The sequence below is a fragment of the Homo sapiens genome, chromosome 5 (genome assembly GCF_000001405.40).
Source record: "Homo sapiens chromosome 5, GRCh38.p14 Primary Assembly".
NCBI lineage: Eukaryota > Metazoa > Chordata > Mammalia > Primates > Hominidae > Homo > Homo sapiens.
In genome coordinates, this window is record NC_000005.10 from 116,466,104 (window position 1) to 116,487,822 (window position 21,719).

At 39.6% G+C, this 21,719-nt stretch overlaps 1 protein-coding gene and 1 long non-coding RNA gene across 9 annotated transcripts in view; one reads left to right on the forward strand and one right to left on the reverse strand.

Annotated features, from left to right (window-relative positions):
• Positions 1 to 5,570, forward strand: part of SEMA6A-AS1 (SEMA6A antisense RNA 1) — a 24,176-nt gene extending 18,606 nt beyond the window's left edge. Inside the window, exon 3 of the long non-coding RNA NR_109879.1 lies at positions 5,088 to 5,570. This is a non-coding gene — a long non-coding RNA (SEMA6A antisense RNA 1). The remainder of the gene's footprint in view (positions 1 to 5,087) is intronic.
• SEMA6A (semaphorin 6A) overlaps positions 1 to 21,719 on the reverse strand; it is a 131,269-nt gene that overhangs the window by 22,549 nt on the left and 87,001 nt on the right. For 4 of the 8 annotated variants that reach the window (XM_006714663.3, XM_024446138.2, XM_017009675.2 and 1 more), the window contains 10 exons: positions 20,646 to 20,863; positions 16,341 to 16,472; positions 14,019 to 14,174; positions 12,439 to 12,615; positions 11,911 to 12,051; positions 11,743 to 11,823; positions 9,442 to 9,500; positions 6,970 to 6,990; positions 2,747 to 2,812; positions 1,480 to 1,644 (listed from right to left, as the gene is read on the reverse strand). In XM_006714663.3, the coding sequence (XP_006714726.1) occupies positions 1,480 to 1,644; positions 2,747 to 2,812; positions 6,970 to 6,990; positions 9,442 to 9,500; positions 11,743 to 11,823; positions 11,911 to 12,051; positions 12,439 to 12,615; positions 14,019 to 14,174; positions 16,341 to 16,472; positions 20,646 to 20,863 (1,216 nt within the window). Of the gene's footprint in view, positions 1 to 1,479; positions 1,645 to 2,746; positions 2,813 to 6,781; positions 6,833 to 6,969; positions 6,991 to 9,441; positions 9,501 to 11,742; positions 11,824 to 11,910; positions 12,052 to 12,438; positions 12,616 to 14,018; positions 14,175 to 16,340; positions 16,473 to 20,645; positions 20,864 to 21,719 lie in introns of all 8 variants that reach the window. The other 4 variants (NM_020796.5, XM_047417451.1, NM_001300780.2 and 1 more) reach the window with 3 other exon arrangements.

Below are 21,719 nucleotides of genomic sequence, written 5' to 3' on the forward strand. Positions count from 1 at the left end.
CTCAAGCCTGTAATCCCAGCACTTTGGGAAGCCGAGGCGGGTGGATCACCTGAGGTCAGGAGTTCAAGACCAGCCTGGCCAACATGGCAAAACCCTGTCACTACTAAAAAAAAAAAATACAAAAATTAGCCGGGCATGGTGGCGGGCACCTATAATCCCAGCTACTTGGGAAGCTGAGGCAGGGAGAATCTCTTCAACTTGGGAGGCGGAGGTTGCAGTGAGCTGAGATCGCACCACTGCACTCCAGCGTAGGCAACAGAGTAAGACTCCATCTCAAAAAAAAAAAAAAAAAGATTTGAGTCAGGGCTTATTACTAAGAGGAAGTCTATAGAAGAAAATAAAATCAGTTAAGAGGACACGCTCAAGAACAAGACAAAAGGGGCTCCATCTTTATATTTTGACTTGGCAAATAGAGCAGCAGAGTGCCCAGCACTCTCAGGAGATGAGAAGCAAAAAAGCAGATGAAAATGTAGCCTGAGAGTCTGACCGGAAAGCATTGTCTAAAAGTGAAGATGGAGATATGTATGCAGAACACTCTGGGGGAGGGTGCAATAGCGACTGTCTTCCAAGGGTCACAGTGGCTGCTCTGCCCTTGAAACTCAAACTCCCGCTTGGATGAAACTCTTGAAAACATATAGAAGTAAACAATTCTGAATGGGGAGAAACAGCTCAGCAACATAACTGGGCTTTTCAGTCTCTGATTTACAAGACTGTTTTTTGGACAAGTAAAGGCCTCTTTGGTTGCAGCTGCAACTAAAGTAGGATGTGTTACCAGAAGCAGCAAATGGCAAGAAAAGAGATGACATTTCCTGTCTGCAGCTAAGCAAAGAAAGCAAAGGAGAATTTAGGACAGTTCACAGTAGAGTCCCTTTCATTTAGTGTGGCTTCCTTTCCGTTGTAAATGCATAGCAATTCTGCTTGATTAAATAACATATTTTTGTCTTAGCTACTATCCTCTAAGGGCAATTACAGTACGTCTGAGGAACATGGCTCTATTCAAATTCAGCACCATGCAACAGTGAGAGATGCTACCAGCCAGAAAAGACTTTGTCCTGCTATTTCTCAATTCACTGATTAACAGGGCCTTTACTTCAATTGCATTCACTTGCCAAAGCCCGAACTGCATTCCATCACATTATGGTGGGAAAAGACGGTCCAAAAATCACAGAATGAGACTAAGAAGAGTGGCAAGGGATGTCAGAAGCCAGCATCTGCTTCGGGCCAAGCCACACCTTTTTCGGGTAGAGGAAGCTCAGAGGACATATTATTTGTTTTGTGTGGTTTTTCCTTGGTCAGAGAATAATTTAGGATCAAGCCTCACATAGAGGATGGGGTTGCAGTCTTTTTCGAGAAACTTTCAATCATAGCGCATTGGAGGTTCCTTAAATGCTGCCAAAATTCAGCTGGAAGCAGTTACACAGTCCTCCCCACTTTTCCCTCCCTCTCCCCCGAGAGGAAGAGGCATTTCCAAGGCCTTACCCTTCTTGTCTTGGTGATTATGGGAAGACACTGCCCCCAAAGGGTCTGTGCTGTCAGGTGAGTCAAGCAGATGCTTCCAGTCCAGCATTCCTCCCCTAGACTCATACCCCTCTTGAGCCGTCGAATCTGATGTGGTTGTGCTGGGCAAGAGGGAACTGGAATGCCCTGTTTTCATCACAAATACAGTTAGGAAAACATCACCAGAGAGACCCACATTCCCTTTGCGCAGAGGCCTGGAGGTGGGACACCCAAGCTGGCTGTAAGACTGAGAGGAGATGGCCCTAGAAATGACACGGCTTAGTGGTGGTGGTGGTGGTGGTGGTGGTGGTGGTGTGGGGTGTGTTCAGCAGAAAGCCCATTGAACTTGTAGTTAGAAAATGAAGGGCCAGATCCTATCTCTCATACTTGCTGGGTGGGCCTCAGGGAATCACTTAACCTCTTCCTGTGCACCCAGTGGGGATAAAGATACCTCTCGGTGTTGGGAGGATAGTGACATAATGGTGAAAGCATCTTGCACAGTGTCTGACACATAGGTGCTCAAGAAAGGCCAGTGTCCTTCTTTGATATTCCCATGGCAGCACTAAACACAGAAAGTGTCCACTCTGGGAATCCCATTTGTGACCGATGGGGCAGGTTTCTGGTAGTGGGTAAGTCTTGTCCCTATCACAAGTAACTCAGTTACTCTGCACCCTTCCTATGGAGGTTCTACAGTGTGTCTAGTCTTCAGGTTCAACTCAACTTCACAGGCATTCCTCTTTCTGGGATTAGTTAGTGGTTTCCAAAGGGATCTATTCCCACTGTCTTTTCATTGGAATGGAGGCTTCAACGGCTACACGCTATTACGGCTGTCCCTTTTGTGTATTATTTCAATAGATGGTTTCCGTTTCTGAGGCTGCGTTGACTAAAATGATTCAAATTAGAAAAGGATAGATTTCTGAGGTTCAGATAAGCTACCATAGGATAATATGAGAAGAATGGCTAGGTTGAGAGTTACAGCAGAAACTCTAGCCATTTCCTGTGAATTCGTTTGTAAGCTCTCCCTCCATCATTCCACAAGGTTAAATACAGATTGTATCAGGTGCTTTGATCCAAGCTGGCACAATGATACCTGTTCTCTCTGGCAGAAATAAAATATGACCTCCTCGTGATTTTCAAGTGGAGTTATTGGCTTACACAGAACAACCTCTTGAACAATTTTTAAAAGATACAAGGGCAACTACTGTGCATGTATAATTGGTGCCTTTGGTGGAAAGTAGGGCAGACTCACAACAACTCCAAAAGCTCCAGCCTTGAAGTATGATCACCATGCACATGATAAATAAAATATTGGCCTCTAGAAAGACAGATTAAAAGAATAAGTACAGTGCATTCTTTTTTTTTTTTTACAATTATTATTGGAAGTTGGATTTCCCCCCAGGAGACTGTAATATTGCAAATTAGACAAAACATATATAACAAAGATAGCTTTTTATCTTCTTAAAACTTTGATTAGCAGGAAAAAGCAAGCCAAGTGGCTCGTCCATGCTATAGTGACTTCTATGGAGCCACCACACTTAAATGCTGCCACAAAGCTTTGGTAACATTGAAGAGGTCCCTTTCTGTATGGCACTTGTTTGGCTCTCACACAAGTGGGAAACATTCAATTTGTTGAAAATAGTCTGCTTCGTATCCAGCTGCTAAAAGCATGTTCATTTAAAATTCAAGGAATGCTTTATTCTAGACTTTTTGTTTTTACATTTCTGAGGTTCACATCTCATGTCATGATACAGATAAGAGAACAGGGGAAGGAAAATCAGCCTGAGAAATGGAAATATAGAAGTTCCTTTATTTCCTTTCAGCTTACATTGAGGTCTAAAACATAACTTTTTTTTTTCCACTCCTGAATTCAAGACTACTTTAATAAAATATATGGTCAGCCTAAGAGAAAATTCAGTGCCCAGCATAAGCAAATAATTAGAAATAGCTTTGTAGGGAGTTAGAAAGAGAAAGTGGGGAAGAATAAAAAATACCTCCCCTCCAAGTAGCAAGATTTCTTTTACCTGAATTGATACGCATTTTGAGCACTTTCAATTTAACTGTGTTCAAGAGGCAATTTTATGGTAATGCCATAAGTATGGTTTAGGGAGAACATTTCTTAATACGGTAATCTAGGGGAAATATATGCCTAAGGGACACATTCTCTGTAGAAAGATTTCCTGGCCCATATGCTGTGAATACATGGAAAACTCATTGGTAATGGAAAGCTATGGCTATGAGAGGAAATTAATGTGGACCAGATGGTAGTTAGGTAAGAGAATGTTTTACACAAATATGAGAAATCAGTCTCTTCTTCCTATCACTGAAGTGTTAGTCTAATACCCACCACATCTCGATTTTCTATATGTAAATCTAGAGAAACCATGCATCTGATTTACTGGAAAGAAAAAACTGAGCAGCATGAGGTTTGTAATCTTTTAAACTTATGCTTGAGGATAGGAAACACGTGCCAGTGGTGAATTAAACAGTCAGAGAAAGCAATACCTGACTCTCAAAAATTTTAGAACCACCCTGTAAAAGCACCATTAAGCAGCAGTCCTCAGTTTGAATTCAAAGATGTGTTATTACCTCTCCAAGCTTAAAAAAAAATTACAAGGAAACCACTTATATTCCATCTTCTAGTCTGATTTTTAAGGTTGTATTATTTTTGTGCATTCCCTAAGAGACTTTGCAACCAAAATAATGCTACAAAAATAGGCAAACATTTGTGGATGTGATATCATATGTCAATAGATTTGGAATCTATATTTTTGTCTTATCAGTCCAATAAGAAAGGTCACCTTTTAATCAATGGAGCTTATGCTTTATCATTCTCATAAAATACAAATAAATAGGTATATTTTGAAAGTTAACGTTAATGCATCATATTGTTTCTCTATATCTACAAGTCATTGTAATTCCAGAGGTTAGATACCCTTCATACTACTCTAACCTATTAACAATGTTTGTAGACAATTAGACACAAAACAGAGACACTAAATCAATACAAGAGAGGAAGAGAGAAGGAAAATAATCAGGGCCCAATTCACTAAAAGGGATTCTTGCATATGTAACTGGTGTGATACAGAGCTTTTGACAAGCAGAAACTCTGCATCGTTTATTGAAATGATCCCTTTTCCTGGGTTGGGCAGTTCTGGTTTTGTAGTTGGCTCTATGAGCCTACACTCAGCCACAGAGTGCAGGACATGCAGAGGATACAGCTAGAAACAGTGTGCATGCACTTTTTACTTTGGAATTGGCTTTCTTGTCTATATCCATGCTCATACAATTAGCAATTTGTTTCTTCTTTCGATGCTACAAATACAGTGCCCAGTACAGTGCCTAGGACACAGTAGTTGCTCAACAAGTATTTGCCGAATGAATTAGTGAAATCTATTCTGGGTTTATTAACTCCAAAATTAACATCCCTTGCAATGGTTTATTTTAAAAAGTTGCCAATATTTTTGTAAGTACTGTCTGAACCAGCTCTCATTTTGATGGTCAATTAATCATCTAACTGCTTCACACTGAATAGATTTAGCCTGAAATGGATAGGATCATTAGCTGAAAGAAAAATTCCACCTCTTCTTTAGTTGCCTCAAGACCTGAAAATGAATGAGCATCATCCCTTAAAGTGTTAACACGGAAGCATTAATAAGTAAGTACCTTTCCTTTTGTAAAGGAAATAAGAGAGAACATAGCTTAGGTAGTGATTTTTGTTCATAAGAGTATCTCATAGTTTAATTATTCTGTCTATTTAAGAAATTACCTGGGAGTTAAAATTGGTCTTGGTATGATTGATGAATGCTGGGGAGGTTGCTGGTTCAATTCGTTTCAAGATCTTAATTTCTCAAAATCTGATGAAGACTATTCAATTATAGGAAATGATCGCAAAGTATCATATTGGAAAAAAGCAGATGCTAAGTGCGGTTTTTTCCTCAAGGCAGTCTCAACTAGGTGACATTTGCCTTCTGAGCAATTTTTCTTCTAGTCTTTGGTGTTCAATATTCTGGTTTCAATCATAGATGAGGGAACATTAAAGTTGGATGAATTCTGTGGGCTTATCTACTCCACACTGCCTTACTTCACAAGGAGGCCAGTCAGGAGAAACCAAGCACTGTTTTCCATACCTACACAGCTCCAATGTATAAGCCAGTCTTTAAGATATTCAAAAAGGCTATTTATGTATGCTAATTTGACACAGGGAGTGAGAGTTTACAAAGAGCTATTAAACACATTTGTAGCCATCAGGAACTATTTCTTTGGATCATAAACCTGCATTGCTTTCTTTTCCTTCCCCTTTGTTTCTTTTCTTTTCCCTTTTTTAAAATTTATTTTTCTCCCTCCCTTATTTACCTATTTCTGTACTTAAAGACTGTCCTGGATCTGTTGCTTGATTATATATCTTAAACACACAAACTATAAAATGGCTGTGTATACATGAAACTCACAGCTTGCATTATAATGCAGAGGCTTAAATTTGCCATCACATGGATGTTTTTCATATCATACTTTAAAAAAACACATGGATAGTTTACCCTAATAAATATTTGGGGGTACCTTGAGAAATGTAAATGGAACAGCTCCATTTCAACTTCTCATATAAAGAGTTCAGAATATTCTGTTTATGGGCTTAGTAGCTTTGTTTAATATAGTGATTGTGTATTTCAGACCAAGAACAATGAGATAAATCCTGTTTGCACATCATTTCCACTGCGTCACTCTTCCTTGTCTACATTCTGAAGAAATCGCACTGAAAACATATCTAAATATTCATACTCTTTTTGAGCTTAAATTTCAGTGGCCAATTTCATACTATATTGGAAAGTTTTGTCTAATAAGAGCCTGACCTGTGTATCCTGTATAGATTTTCGCCAGCAGAGGGTATTGTCCTGAGTGCCAGCATTTTGGGGGATGGTGAACTGTATCAGCTGAGGAGCTATAGTCTATCAGTTAGGAGCATTATTCCTTTGTCTTGGATATACTTATGTTCAAAAGCAATTTCTTCTCCCTCAAGAACTCATTAAATGTATTCACCAAATTCCCTAAGGTTGGCATATTTCATGTTATCTGGATTAAAAATTTAGGACTCAGTCTCCCACATCAATTGTCTCACATAGGCAGAGTAATTTTTGAAGGACGGTGAAATTAATAAATAATTTTAGTGAATTGGGGCCCTAAAGTAACAAAGAATCTGGTCCATGATGTTTAGGAATGAAAACTATAAACTACTGCTGGATGAATGACTTCACGAATTTAAAAAAAAAAAAAAAATCCGTAAACTGACCATACACTGTGTTGTAAGACATTTCATTATCTGGTAGAGGAGTTGAAATGTCTATAAAAAAATGATGAGGATAAAAAATTAATTAAAAAGAAACTTAAGATTTGAACATACTCAAGAGGATTAATGAAATAGACATTCTCAGATAGGTTTCCACCAGTATGGAATTATGAGAGTAATATCTTCCTTACCATTCAGTGCCACAAAGGAATCTGAAAGACAAAAGGGAGGAGAAGGTTACTTAATGTTTTACGCTCTGCTTGGGGCGACTTACATAAGTGGGAATGAGCTAACACAGAACTATGCCAGCGTATGGTCCCCGATACTAAGTAAGTGCTTTTTAATTTCTGCGTGTAATGTAAGATGCCTTCTACTCAGTCCGATTTCTCACCTCCATATCTCTTCCACCAAGTGAATTTCCTCCAAGTCACTGCCTTTGCCAAGAGGCAGAGAAAATGCAAGAGTTGGCAGACGAAATGGTAACTGCAATTATAGGTGACTTCGAGAGTTTAAACCCTTCTTTATACAGAGGGACATGCATATGCATAAGTGATACCTGGACCACACTTACAAAGAAAACACTTATTCTTTACATTCTCTTTTTACTTCATCCTCACAACCATGCTGTGAGAAACTGTCCAGTGTTACAGTGTTCTGAAATCATCAGGGGTTTTAGTTTGGAAGTTAAAACAAAAAACAAACCCTTACACATATTAGGCAACATATCTGGGTGTGTGCTGTGTGTTGGGGTCAGATCTCTGGTTCACTCAGCCTCTAACACTGGCTCTTTGTGATTTCCTCATTTCCCTTTAAAATCCTGTTAATTTTGTACCAGTTATAATGATTGTACCAGTTAGAGAAATCCTCCCTGAATACCTATGTGGGGATAGGTCTGTCTAATAGAGGTAGTTCATGCTTCAGCAGGAACACGGGGAGAGGAGAAGCCATGAGCAAAGGCAGGCAGGCAGAGGGGCAGCCTTACCTCCTGCCCCGAGCAAGCACCCTTGGCAAGTGCCTCCGCAAGAGTGGGGTTAAAGGTCAAAGGCACACTACAAAGCACGAAGGCAGATCCAGGGGCTTGCTTGACCACTAAGATTACTCTGGAAATAAAGAGTAAAGCACAGGGTTGGGACCTGAGAGCGTCCCCTATGCTACATACAGAGGCTTCCTTAGGTTCTTCTGCCTGAGAACACAGATAAGGGTGTGAGCCTACTGGTATAGTGGACATTTTATAGACACAGTACCAACCATCTTTACATGTTTCACGTATTTTCTGATTTGATCCAAATCTACACCCCTATTTTTCTACAGACACCACTATTGCAAGTAATATAAATATGATGAAAATAGCTCATTAACATCAGCTAACTAAGCTGTTAATAAAGCGTGCACGCATGCACACACACACACACACACACACACACACACATCTTAAAACCTGTTTCCTTGCAAATAAAGCTATAATGCACCAAGATGATTAAGGTCCACTGATCAAACATCAAACTATTTCCCTGATACGGATGAACGCACACACGTAACATACATCTTTTAGTGATGACACTTCTCCTATGCTTATTTATTAACTCATCAATTTTGTGTGTAAGACATAATAAGAATTTTTGCCAATATATAATATTTGTAAATGAAAAATATGTATATGGCAAAGATTTGGAGATAAGTCTGCCTTTAGCCCTCTTTATTTGATTATAACTAATCTCTAAAAAAGATAAGGTAGAAAGTTGAATGACACTTTAGAGTCTGAAATTTCAGTACTTATGACTGAAAGATTTAGAGTTATGTCCGTGACTTCCGTTATAGAATCAAATATCAGGATAATATAGCTTCATTCCCTTAGAAGCTATTATTTGGTGCCATTTTGAATGCAAGCTTCTTGAAATTCAGCATATATAACATTCGAAACAGCACAAACTAAACATATTTTCCAAGAGTATGGTATTATTCTTTAAATTAGCATTAATAAAGCATTTTCAGGAGAATATTGATATTAATCGGGTCACATGACAACTGGGCAGAAATTTGAGCCAGATCCTTTACGTAAAGTTCTAACTAAAATGTTACCATTTAATAACTATCTCTGAGATTTACATAGTAGGCCAATTCCTATAAAAAGATTATTTTGAATTGCCTTGTACTTGTGGGTTATTTCTGAAATTTTTTTTCCTATTACATATGGTAATAGACACAAATCTAATTTAAAAACATAATTGCTTTTGTTAGTCGATATGTTCAAGAATAAAACAGGCCCACTCAATTAAAAAGCTAGAGTACAATGATCAATCTTATTATTATTTGGCGGAAAATGACAGTATAAAAGCATGTTTTTAAAAACAGCAAAACTGTCATTTTGTAATGGAAATGCTGATTTAACTTACTGCTTTGCTACAATTAATATCCTCTAGGGTGAATTTTTTCCCCTGCATTAGAATTAATGAAATAGGTGCCAGCATTTATAGTGACAACATTGACAACACTGGCTTTAGAACGCACTGCTTTCTTTGTTTGGTATTTAGAAGATGATTTCCGTCATTTACGCATGCTTTAGTGTCAGCTGCACTCAGTTCCACATGTGAGCTGATGTTTCTAGGCCATTCACTGAAAGCATCTTTGCCCAAAGATAAAAATGGATAAAAGACTGTACTTACTGTGACAGTCCCCCAGACCATCTGTATTGCCACGCTCTATGTCCTGCTCAAAAGTCAGTCTTTTAAAAAAGGAAGGGAAAGAGAGACAGAAATGAATACAATAACGTGAGTCTTCAGAAATGAGTCAAGCTTCACTAAAGACAGTAACACAGTTTGATAAATTGAGTGGCAGGTGCAAAAAAGAAATACATAACAGCTTTAAAATTTATCTCTGAAGTTTATAGAAACGAGTCTTAGGTGACTCTCCAAAGAGAAGCCATGGTTTAAGCAGTGAATTCAGATATTATTCAGGGAGATAATTAGCTTGCAGATTATTTACATCCTTCTTTACTCTAATTCTCTGAGCATTTCTTAAACATTTAAGAAGTTTAGATGTTAAAATACACGCCTCATAGAAACAATATGGAAGTCTATAAATTAAAAAGAAAAATCTTTTTTTCTCTATTCTCTTTTTCACTCCTACCCTTGCCTTCCTAGGCAAGGTTTTTTGCCTAGACATTTATCTAGCCAAAAACTTGGACGATAAAGTGTTCAAAGGTCCAAGTGAGGGGACAGGAGCCGGTGGTGCATTTTGTGGAGACTGCTTGGTTATTTGTTCACTCCCAGCCCTGCCCCAGTCCTTGGGAGTATTACTCTCATTCTCTTTGACATGCTCATGTTTCTTCCAAGTCTACTAGGTCACCATTGGGCTGTACAAGCAACATGACATTAACAAAACCAATTTTAATAAAAGCTATTTTGATTTTTAAAATAAGCACACCAGAGTCACCTTCCTTTGGGGGCACTTTGTACATATTCCCATAATATAATTGAAACTCTTATTTTGCAACTGCTTTCAGAGTTTATTTATGAGCCGTATAGGAAAACTATTTTGAAAGTCACAGCTTGATCTAATAATCCACCGTGTTTGGTTTCTAATCTTTTTTGCCACATTAAAAATCAAATCCCTCAAAAGATGAAGATTTCTAGTGGTAATGACAGCCAATATTCATCATGCCCTGGAGCCCACTCTCCAAAGGGAACGCCCCATGTTTTAAGCAATGCCAGCATCATTGAAATATGAATGCAAACCTTAAGGAAACTATTTTGGGGTTCTTATATTGACTTAACAATAATTTTTTAAAATTCAGTCTTATAGCCTTCGGTCACATGTTGAACATAGAAAGGACATAGGTCATCTCATAGCTCCCCTCACCATGCTTTGTGATCCTTTCTCCTCCACCTTGAGGGTTCCCATGCAAAGGTACAGAGCTCTAAGATTATAGCATGTCAATAATGCTACTTGCAAAGCTGTTCTAATAATATACAGAGACTCAACCTTTTGCATTAGTCAAATTTCTAGGTCAGATTTTATAGTTATCATCAGCTCTGTTTACGAGAGTACTTGTCCTCAAATTATGCAGGTAGTGGTCATCAGATATGCCCTTGATCTGTTTGTTTAGCTATTCTGAAATAGGAAGGGAGGCTCACAGTGATTTAAAGATGGTTCTGTTCCCCCTTTGGATCTGAGGAGGTTGAAGAAATGGCTGTGTTGAAGAAAGATCTGTGCTGTCTAACCTCCTAAACTGCCTGCCACAACCCATCAAAGATAAACATTGAATACTTCTGCAAATTTATTTTGGATTTCACATCCACTGAAGTAAAAGCATAAAAAGAAACCTCTTAGCTAATGCCATCTAAGCATTTAAAGCCAGGGTAACAATTTTAAACACCAAAATCATAGGCATGGTGGACTGGCCTCATCTAGCTGATCTGTTGGAGAACTGCCAAGAATTGATTGACGGCCTGATGAGTAATAGGGTCAACTGTTCTTCAGCGCAGGAAAAGGTTTATTGGATGTATACACCATGCTTGCAGTACAATTACATTGCTTAACAAATGTTCTGCAATTTCTTCTCAGCCCTGCACAGTCAATTACAAAAGCCGGTTTTGCTATGGCTGGACAAACCACTCACTAATCTAATTGGTATCCTATTGCTCCTTTTCTCTGCTTTTCTCCCACCATGATGATCAAGGCAGGCACCTTCTTGTCTCTCTCTCCAGGGAATACATTGAAGCCCACTGTGTTTCCATTCTGTGTTTTTAATCAGTCCGAGGATGATTAATCAATTGGAAATCTGCCACATGTGATGTGGTGAGGCTCTATGAAATGGGAAAGGGTAGGAGAAAGGCTGACAGTCCCGTTGCTGGAGTTTGCACAGAAAGCTGTGTGGTGGTGTGTGTGAGCAGAGCAAATCTTACATCTAGAATACACCTTGGCTGGAAGCCACTTCACCCTCTCCCACACCTCAGGCTGCCTACCTGCTGTTGGGTGATAAATGGCTGCAGGCACCACCTTCCTTTATCCATCCACAATATGGGTCTCTGGAGGCAATACAGGTTCTGCAGGAAGAGGATGACCATGAGCTACCTAGGACTGTTTCCTAGCCACCATGGACTTTCTAATTGTCAATGAGGCAAAATACATACTTTTTACACTTCCCATGTCGTTCACACCGGCCAAGGGGAACCTTTATCACACAGGTAGAGAACGCAACATACAGAGAGCTGCTTGCTCTGTCCAGCTGCATGCCCATGATCCTTTTGTCTTCGACTCCATCATAGCTGCATCTAATTTCATCAGGCAAGATAATATCATTAATAGACTCTTCTCTTTTTCTCGGCCCCACCCTCACATCCCACTTCCCAGCCCACAAGGCAATCTCTTAATCTAACTGGCGGTGAAACAAACAAACCCTTCTGCTCTTGCACACACGTAAACACACACATGTATATGTATCTATATAAACACACACACATATATGTATCTATATAAACACACACACACACATTGGCAAGGAGAAAATAATGCTTTTTAGGTGTTAAATTTTTACAAACAGCACTAAAAAGTCATCTAAAAATGCATAAAACCTCAGTCGGTCATGATTTTCTCTGAATGAAAGGGGCCATAATAGCATAACAAATAATTACTAAGAAAGAACCAAATATTCCACTTACTTTTCAGAGTTGTAAACACTCATCTCCTCCAGGAAAAGGCTGTCATTTAGAAAACCACTATTTCCTATTCTGGCCAAAAACTTCAAGATGATTCCCTTCTCTGATCCCAGAAAAACCACAGTGTGATTCTGATATGGCCCAGCAGCTGTGTCCACTGCAATTTTGGTAAGGCGGTATCTAAAATGACAGGACCACATTTCTTATCTCTTTGTTGGTCTATCATTAAAGTGTTCCCTGTTCCACTTCAAACAGCTGCGACATAGCCTTCTAGTAATAACCTCAAGAAAAATATATGCATATAAATAATGTTCTCAAGTGGTTCTGGCCCTTTATTTCCATTTGCAGAGCACTAGTGTGGCTCCAAAGGGGAGGAAGGAGGTGTGAGAGAGTGTGTGTGTGTGTGTGTGTGTGTGTGTGTGTGTTTGCAGGCCAAGTACTATAATAGCCAAAACCACCTGAAACCACTTAGCAATAATCCCCTTCATGAACAAGGAAAAGACTAATGTCTCCTATGAGGAGGGTAAGAAGTAATAAGAAATTCATTTAACCTTTAATTTAACATTGAAAAGCAATGACTGCGATTTCTCCATACTCTTCCTCTGAGATACAAGGCCTTCATCAACAAAATGTTTGATTGGAAAGCTTTCTGAAGGATGAGGAGGTAGGGTGCTAATGGCACTACTAAAAACTGTAAGGACCTGCAAGCCAAACAATATCCATTTAAAGCTAAAGGTGAAGGGCATACCTGGGATAAGTCCTACTAGCAATTTGCTTTCTCTGAAATCCCTTGGACATTTGACACTCCATGGGGACCTAGTTGTCCTAAGCACCATAGCTGGAACCAGAAAACATAGACCCTCCTGCAAGTTATATACCATGGTTTCCATTTTGTGTGCCAGAGCTATTACAGTGCTTTAATATGTTTTAATAAAGTCATAGTATAAAAATAGTGGTAAAGTTAATTAACATTTTGTTTGATGGCTACCACAGTGGGATGGTACTTGGGAAAGCCTGTTGAACTGCTTGGAAATAAGCTCTGAATAAATACAAGGAAGAGTTTTTTAATACTACCACAGATCTCTAATTGGCTGTCCCTTCGCTGTTGGCCACCAGTTCAGAAAAAGAATATTAAACTATGAATCCTTCACACCAGCAAATGTGGTATCTGTGCTCTGTGTGACAGCAAACAATCCATGAGCCATGCTCAGGTGGAATCTGCTGCAAGTTTTGTAATCATTTCCAACCAATCAGGTATCCACATCCATTCACTGGTTCTCCTTCACTGCTCCTCTATTTTTGCACAGATTGGATCAATGGGCTAATCCAGAAGGAAAGGTATTTCCTTCCTCTAATTGCTGGCATGTGTCCAACTAGCCTGAAAATATTGGAACTCTTCTCCCTGGGAATGTGTGTATAGGGGTTTAGTGGTATCCAACCAATCGGCCACCATTTCACAGCTGAATGAATGCCCAGGATAGCAGAAGATGTTTGTGGCATTTCAAAGCATGATCCACTGATTGGTTCTCCGACATGAGATGAAGTTAGGAAATCCATCAGGACACGGTTTGTTTGACACCCACCTGACCATTGTTCTCAGGAACCATGGCCTGTTGAAGATGGAGGGCACTGCCTCATCCATGAGCGGGTGCGTCTTGATGAAGTTCAGGGTATCATCAGGGAACTCATTGGAGGTTGCATATCTTTCTAAGGAGGATGAGCCAGCACAGCAACCTGGCCTAAAATGAAACAAAGGGTGAGGAAGGAGGGAGCTTATTTTCTGCCTTATGGCAAATTCTTTGAATGAACTGCTTCTCTAAGCATCTGGAATGGAGGAGAATGTACTGCAGCCTGAGAGGAGGAAGTTGAACAATGCAGAATGCCACCAAGCACAATATGCTGAGATTTCCTCTGAGCCGCCTCCTCATTTCTGAGGAGCCTCAGCCAGCACAGTTCAGCCTCAGCTGGGGGCAGGCTGGCTTCCTCCCAGAAGCACAAACAAACCTCAGTAAACAGTGATGGAGCTTGAAACAAGTGAGTGAGTGTGGTTTGCACATATCTCGGGGATGGTTTTACTTATCCAAAAAGGCTGCTAGAGATTCCTCATGCATTTACTCTACAGAGGGAAAGAATTAGGTTGACGTTTTCGCAAGTGTAGAAAGAAAAGACTCTCCAAAACTCACCAGGGTATGTGCCAGCAAGACTCCGTGTAATCATGTTTCATTACCTGGGGCTCGCTCAGAGAACATTTTGGTTTTGTTTCTTATTGTTGTTTTTATTTTTGTTTGATTTTGGCAGGTATGAAAAGCCAATTATATCAGATTCTTTCCTGAAAGGTCATTTCTTGTCATTGAATGACGACCATAAAAATTTGCTTCTACAAGAAATTCTATGGTTTCAGGAGTCAAGGGTCATCCCAGCAAAGTCAGATTAGGGAAACACTGAAACCCATCTTGTCCAGACACCTGGTTTGCCTGGGTGGTGCAGAAGAGGAGATTGGACCCTCACGACACCAGCATGAACCACTCCTATGTCCACACTGTCTCAAGGCACTAACCCAGCCAGCCCCGTAGAGCATCCTGACTGCTGCAAGAGGGACGAGGCAGGCATGTGGAAGGATGTTTAATTAAACTCACTGCCATTAGTAGAAAATCACTTAAAGTATGTGTGCTGGTATTGGTTGAGTGACACCATCTTTACATACCAAGGAGAGGGTATTACATAAGAACTTACTGAAACCTGATCCCTCAGGCTGAACTCCCCTTCCTGCTAGAAGGAACTATCTAGAACTATCTAGAAGGTAGTTAACAATCCCAGGCAATGACTTAAGACTATCTGTCTGAGGTTGCTGGGGTGTGCTTTTCACACCTAGTCTGCTCTCCATAAGTAACAGAATATCAACATGCCAGATAATTCAGGTAATGAAGATGGATGAGTTTCTCCTCTGGGTTTAAGTGGTTCGTATTATCTAAGTTAGTTCATGTAAGTGTACTTGGCTAGGTATGTTGTGGGGAGGACTGGAGGTTGCGGAAGAGAGTTGAAAAACAAAAAAATTAGTAAGACATTGGGCTTCCTTCCAGAGGCACACAACTCCTGGGGAAGACAGACACCATGGGTTGTTTCTATGAAACTTGGAGTGCAAATGCTGCAATGGAGGTGTGAGTGCGTGCCACAGAAGAGAGGCACGCAAAGGGCTTAGCGGGGACTTCCCTCCTGTCCCAGTTAGGATGAATTAGCCTGTTTGGGAAGAGACTACATAGGACTGAGAGGTCTCTGGGTTGCCTCTGGACCATAGTATCCCATGAAAAGAATTCTAAGCCATGATTTGGGGAGGAGGACACTGCACTGTATTTGGACCCAAAACAGACCAAAACCTGGCAGACCAGAGACATCTTAATGGTCCACTGTACCCGCTGGATTCTTCTCACCCTCGGTCTAGAGTCCTAGACTGAGCTCTGATCCAGCTTGGTCACAAATCCGGAAAACACTATTTATATTTCATATTTTATTTGGGTTTAAAGACATGGGTCTCTATAAAATTGAAAGGAAGCATAAAGAAGCAGCGGAAATCACCACCCCCAACCCCCGCTATTGAACTTGTACAATACCCTTTACCTCTCCAGGCCTCAGTTTTCCCAACTATAAGCCAGTGACACCTCAGATGGTTTCCACCATTGTAGTGTTACGTTGGATAAATAACATATATGGAGGTTAAGCAGAAGACTAGAGGAACATTGGTTTGAGTATATGAGAAGGTAACTTTGGGTTTTGGTTAATGAGATGAAGGCAATCTGCTTGGCTGGCATGGAAGGCACTGGTGCGCAGTTCATAGGATGTTCATTATCAGAGGTGCAAGCTTTGCCATTTCTAAAGTTTAAAATAGCCATATGAATATTTGCACATACCTGGGCTTAGGAACTCGTTCATCAGGAACTGGTGTCCAGGTGGAATCAGGAGACTTCTGTTCCTTGAATCTCCCAGTAAAAACACTGGCAATGTCAAGCATGTCATAGGCACAGACTGCAGACCCAGGGATGCTACAACATGATATTTCACATCAAGTGTTACTCATGCAATGGTTATGCATGTGGTTTGGAACATACTCCAGAGAAACTTTCCTGGTACAGCAAATGAAATTTAAAGTTCATACCTTGGACACTATAAATATAAGGGATCTTAGTACACAAAGAAAATATTTCTCTCAATCAAATTTGCATCAGTTGCCTTAAAGAATGGGGTAGTTATAGGAAGCTCACAGAGAGGAAAAAAACTCTTCATGTCTACATTGCTTCTTGAACTGATTTTATTTATAAAAGAAGAATTGTTGAGCTAGTGATAGAAGTTTCATGAATTCCCTGGTACTAATTATCAGTTAATGACCTCTCTGAAGTCTCTGGAGAGCGTTCTGTGTCACTAATATTGGTGAAAATTTGAAACAAAAATGCTCTCCCATTGTCCACATATTGCTTCTTTGAATTTGGTTTTTCGAGCCAAGAACTTAGGGTGTGAGAATATGTTTGTGGGGAAACCCACACAAATTTTATGTTAGTCTCTGTACATTTAAATTTTTACCTTCCTGATTACTTACGTAAGACTAAACAATTTAAGTTTCTAAAATGCCATCACTTTGCAAATAAAGTACTTTATAAAGTGATAAATAACAATAATGGCCATCAGCTCCACCTATAATTATATCCTTGCCTGGCACCCCTGGAAGGACTTAGGCTTCTTTTTTTAATCAATGATGGGAAGGAATGAATTATTCATTCATCTGGGTGCACAGTTTACATTTGGACCCACATTTGTTTTTGACTAGAGTTGCTCCTTGATTTTGATCAAATAAATTACAGGCACCAGCTGGCCAAGAGTTTTAATCAGGCTTTGAGATAGTGGGTCATTACATGGCAAGAGCGCCCAGGACAAGAGACACGGGTGCCCTGCAGTGTGGGAACATCATCCAGGGCAGGGAATATCATCCAGAGAGAATGATTTTGTCTTGAATTTTGCAAATGTTGAACAGATATAAAAATAACTTCATAAATGATTAGGAGAATTTATTCCATCTTTAATTTCATAAGAAAATTATTGAATAATAATTGCTTAATAATAATTGCTTAAAGCAAGAAATAGGGAGAAGCTTAAAATGCTTATTTAAAATAAGGTGGCAAAATAAATTTTAAATGCTTATAAATTTATACATGTACATATGTTGTTCACAGAATTAAGTGTATAAGACAGTGATAGGCCGGGCGAAGTGGCTCACGCCTATAATCCTGGCACTTTGGGAGGCTGAGGTGGGTGGATAACTTGAGATCATGAGTTCAAGACCAGAGTGGCCAACATGGTGAAACCCCGTCTCTACTAAAAATACAAAAATTAGCCAGGCATGATGGTGGGCACCTGTAATCCCAGCTACTCCGGAGGCTGAAGCAGGAGAATTGCTTGAACCTGGGAAGTGGAGGTTGCAGTGAGCTGAGACTAAGCCACTGCACTCCAGCCTGGGCGACAGAGTGAGACTCTGTCTGAAGAAAAAAAAAAAAAAAAAAAAGACAGTGATTCTCATTTGTTTTGGAATTTCAGAACCTTTGCATTATTTATTTGATTTCGTAACACTCTCATCACATATTCCTTTTCGGAAAGTAACACATTTACATATAGTATTTTCTTTATATATTAAGAAAAATAGGATAAATACTATTTGAAGTATTTTCTGATGCACCTCGTAATAACTAAAGATATCCTAGGGTTTCGTAGTCTTCCTGAGGTTAGAATCAGTTGTGAAATCCTTTCTTCCTCCTTCCTTACATTTCTCTCCTTCGTTCCTTTCTTTCCTTTCAATTTTCCTTCATTCCTTCCCATCTTCCGTTCATTCAACATATGTTTATAGAACCCCTACTTAAGGCAGTAAGTGCACCACAAACAACATAGGGTCTTGCCCTCAGTTGGCTCACACTTCAGTGTGGAGGCAAATATAAGAATAATGACAAAAATAAGGAGAATTGCTTGAACAAGGAGGCGGAGGTTGCAGCGAGTAGAGATGGCTCATTGCACTCCAGCCTGGGTGACAGAGCGAGACTCCGTCTCAGGAAAAAAAAAATAATAATAATAATAACAAAAATCATAACAACAACATCTTCAGGACGGTCTGGTAAGAGCAGAGTATGAAAGAAGTATGCACAAGGTCCCATAGGAGGTGACTAGCTGACATTTGAAGTACCCGCAGGGTTTTAGTGGGCAGATGTTGGTCAGGTGGGCAAATCTCGCAGAAAGCAATGAATGAGCAAAGCATGGCACATTCAAGGAGCAGATCTTTGCTCCGATCAGCCCATGGCACAGGCTGCATGGCAGAGGATGGGAGGGGATGAACTAGAGAAGGAAATGGGGCCAGACCCTGTGGGGGCTTGTGTGTCATGCCAGAGAGCTAGGGCTTTATCCTCAGGGCAAATGGATTTGAAACAATTTGACATGACCAAGTTTGCATGTGTAAAGCATGAAGTAGAGGGATGAAACCAGAGAAAGTGAAAACAGAGGGACTATAATTTATAGATGACAATGGGTATGTATATTTTTAGGTGGGTACAGATTACCAAACAAATATGATTTCTGAGACTGCATAATCATGCACTAAGTGGATATTTCTTAGGGGCCGTTTAAGAAAATACTGTAAATGGAGTTATCTATAATATTTAAGGGCTTACTACTATATTGTAATCACAAAGTAACCCACACCCTTAAAAAACAAGACAAAACAAACAAAACAAAACAGAAACTAGAAAACTAGAACTGGTCTTAGATTCCGGTAGCCCCTGCATTTCCATGTGCCAAGACAGTATACTTTTTCAAAATCCTAGAGAGATAGGCTCTGATGTATGAGCAATAAAAGCCTGAATTTTTAAATATCGTTTTTATCCACAAGTCTAAAAATCCCTACAGATGTTTAAAGCTTACTTATATCTAACTGAATACTTCTTGGTGCAATACGGGTTCGTATTTTCATATTATTTTCAGTGGGGAGCTTGACTCTCATCCGCTGTATAATTGAGGAACATGATTTCATCCTTCATGAAGTTTGCTCTGTTCTTAAGCATTTCTTTCTAGATGTTATCCTTTAGTTTTATCATTTTGGTGCCTGTCATTTAGGCACTCATCAAGTTCTTAAAAGTTTTTGTAAAAAGTTTTATAATTCAAAGCAAAACAGTATTACTAGAGGAACATACTCAATACAGAACACCCAAAATTCTGCACAGAAATGAGAACACAGTGCATGAATTTAGATTTCACGACCATGCACACTGTTAGGATCATTTTCACACAACAATACGAGGACTCTGAAATCTTGTTGGCTTAACAGAGAGCTGAGTACTAAGGAAAAACACTAATGCTTATCTTCCTTCTGTTCTATACACATTTTCACTGCTCTAGGAACAATTACCAGTGCATCATTTAGTTGCTCAAAGTCTTAGTTTTAAGTAAATACAAAAATAGGAGTGACTAGGCTGACACTCATAATTTGTAGGTACAATGTTTGATGATTTATAAATTCTCACTAGAGCCTTCCAGAGTCAGATTCTGGTGCTGTGGTTGGGGTCTGGGTTGTGGCCCAACTTGGTGAGTGAGCTTGCCCAAGGGTGGCTTTGTTGGACAGGTTAATAACCAAAGTCCTTTATCTTGAATCCTAGATTTCACCCTGTAGCAATTTAATACATTTCCAATGTTTTAACTTCAAAAGGTACTGATCCCGTCATGAGAATATTAAAAGTCAAATACTGCAAATTATTAGATGACCTAGAAGAGACAGGACGAACATTCTTGAGTTCCAAACTGCCTCTTCCATCTACTGACTACTTAGACCAGGTAGTATAATATGTCGAGCTCACTTTCCTTAAGTGGAAAAAGAAGACAATATTATCTAGTTTCTAGGATTACTAGAAGGATTTATAAATAACACATAAAAAGTGTTTATATACCAGGCTTATATAAATAGAAGATATTGTCATAATTTATCTAATTACTTCCCCTAAAACCTAACTTAATAGTGCTTATAAACTACTTTTAATTTGTTGATGAAAACTAAGTGTTAAGTGCTTCTTAGCTACACACAATGAATGCAATTTTCAGTCAGTTGCAAATATGGTTTATTAGAAGAGAACCCCCTGGGAGAAGGAAGCCAGGAAGAATTGATGAGGTCAACACAGCTAGGGCATGATTACCTGTTATAAGGTGTAGAAAACGTTGCCAGGACAACATCACGCCCGTTGATACGAATCACATCTGTAACTGCCTGGAGAATGTTGAAATAAAAATGAGAGTCTCCAGGAACTGAGCAGTTCAAGCGCGCCTTCAGGAACGACGTCCACTGTTTCTCCAGGACTCTTTGAGATCCTCCCATATCATTCTTACAAACCTGAGCCACTCTTGGGAAAACTACCTGCAGAGGAAAAACACATAGGGAAAATTAAATGCATTCATTTTGCAAGGAGATCTTAGTAGAATCTGCATTCCTTGAAAACAGAAACAAAACAACAAGGTGCTTAATACTGTTTCTAAAATCAGTAACAAAAAAAAAAAAGAAAGAAAAGAAAAAAAGAGGAAAACTCAGCATTAGAGTAGCATGTTTTAAAAGATAAGGCTGTGGCATTTAATACAGAGTCATAAATCCTTCAGGGAATCAGCTCCGAGCCACATAAAGTCATTTCCATACAGACTGCTTAGCTTTTTATTTCCTCAAACAAAAGCACACTTTGTATGCACAATCTCTGCCATCCTCACTAGCTGCCTCTGGGCCCTGAATCTGTGCAAGCCACCCTGGCATTCTATGTTACCCTCCAACTTAGGGACCTTGATCTACTCTCTGGTAAAAAGAACTAAAATGGACATCCCCTAAGTGTTGTATATTGCTTTTTGCAATAAAGACAAAAATCAAAACTCAATTTGATTAAAGATACTGCATAGTTACAGTCTCTGTGGAGCAACTCAATTAAGAAAAAAAAAACAAAACTGTTGAGTATACCTGGAAACCACATCTCAAGACACTTGAATCTCGGGCCAGGTGCGGAGGCTCATGTCTGTAATCCCAGCATTTTGGGAGGCTGCAGCAGGTGAAATTACTTGAGGTCAGGAGTTCGAGACCACCCTGCCAACATGGCGAAACCCTGTCTCTACTAAAAATAAAAAAATTAGCTGGGCACGGTGGCGCATGCCTGTAATCCCAGCTACTCGGGAGGCTGAGGCAGGAGAATCACTTGAACCCGGGAGGTAGAGGTTGCAGAGAGCCGAGATTGTAC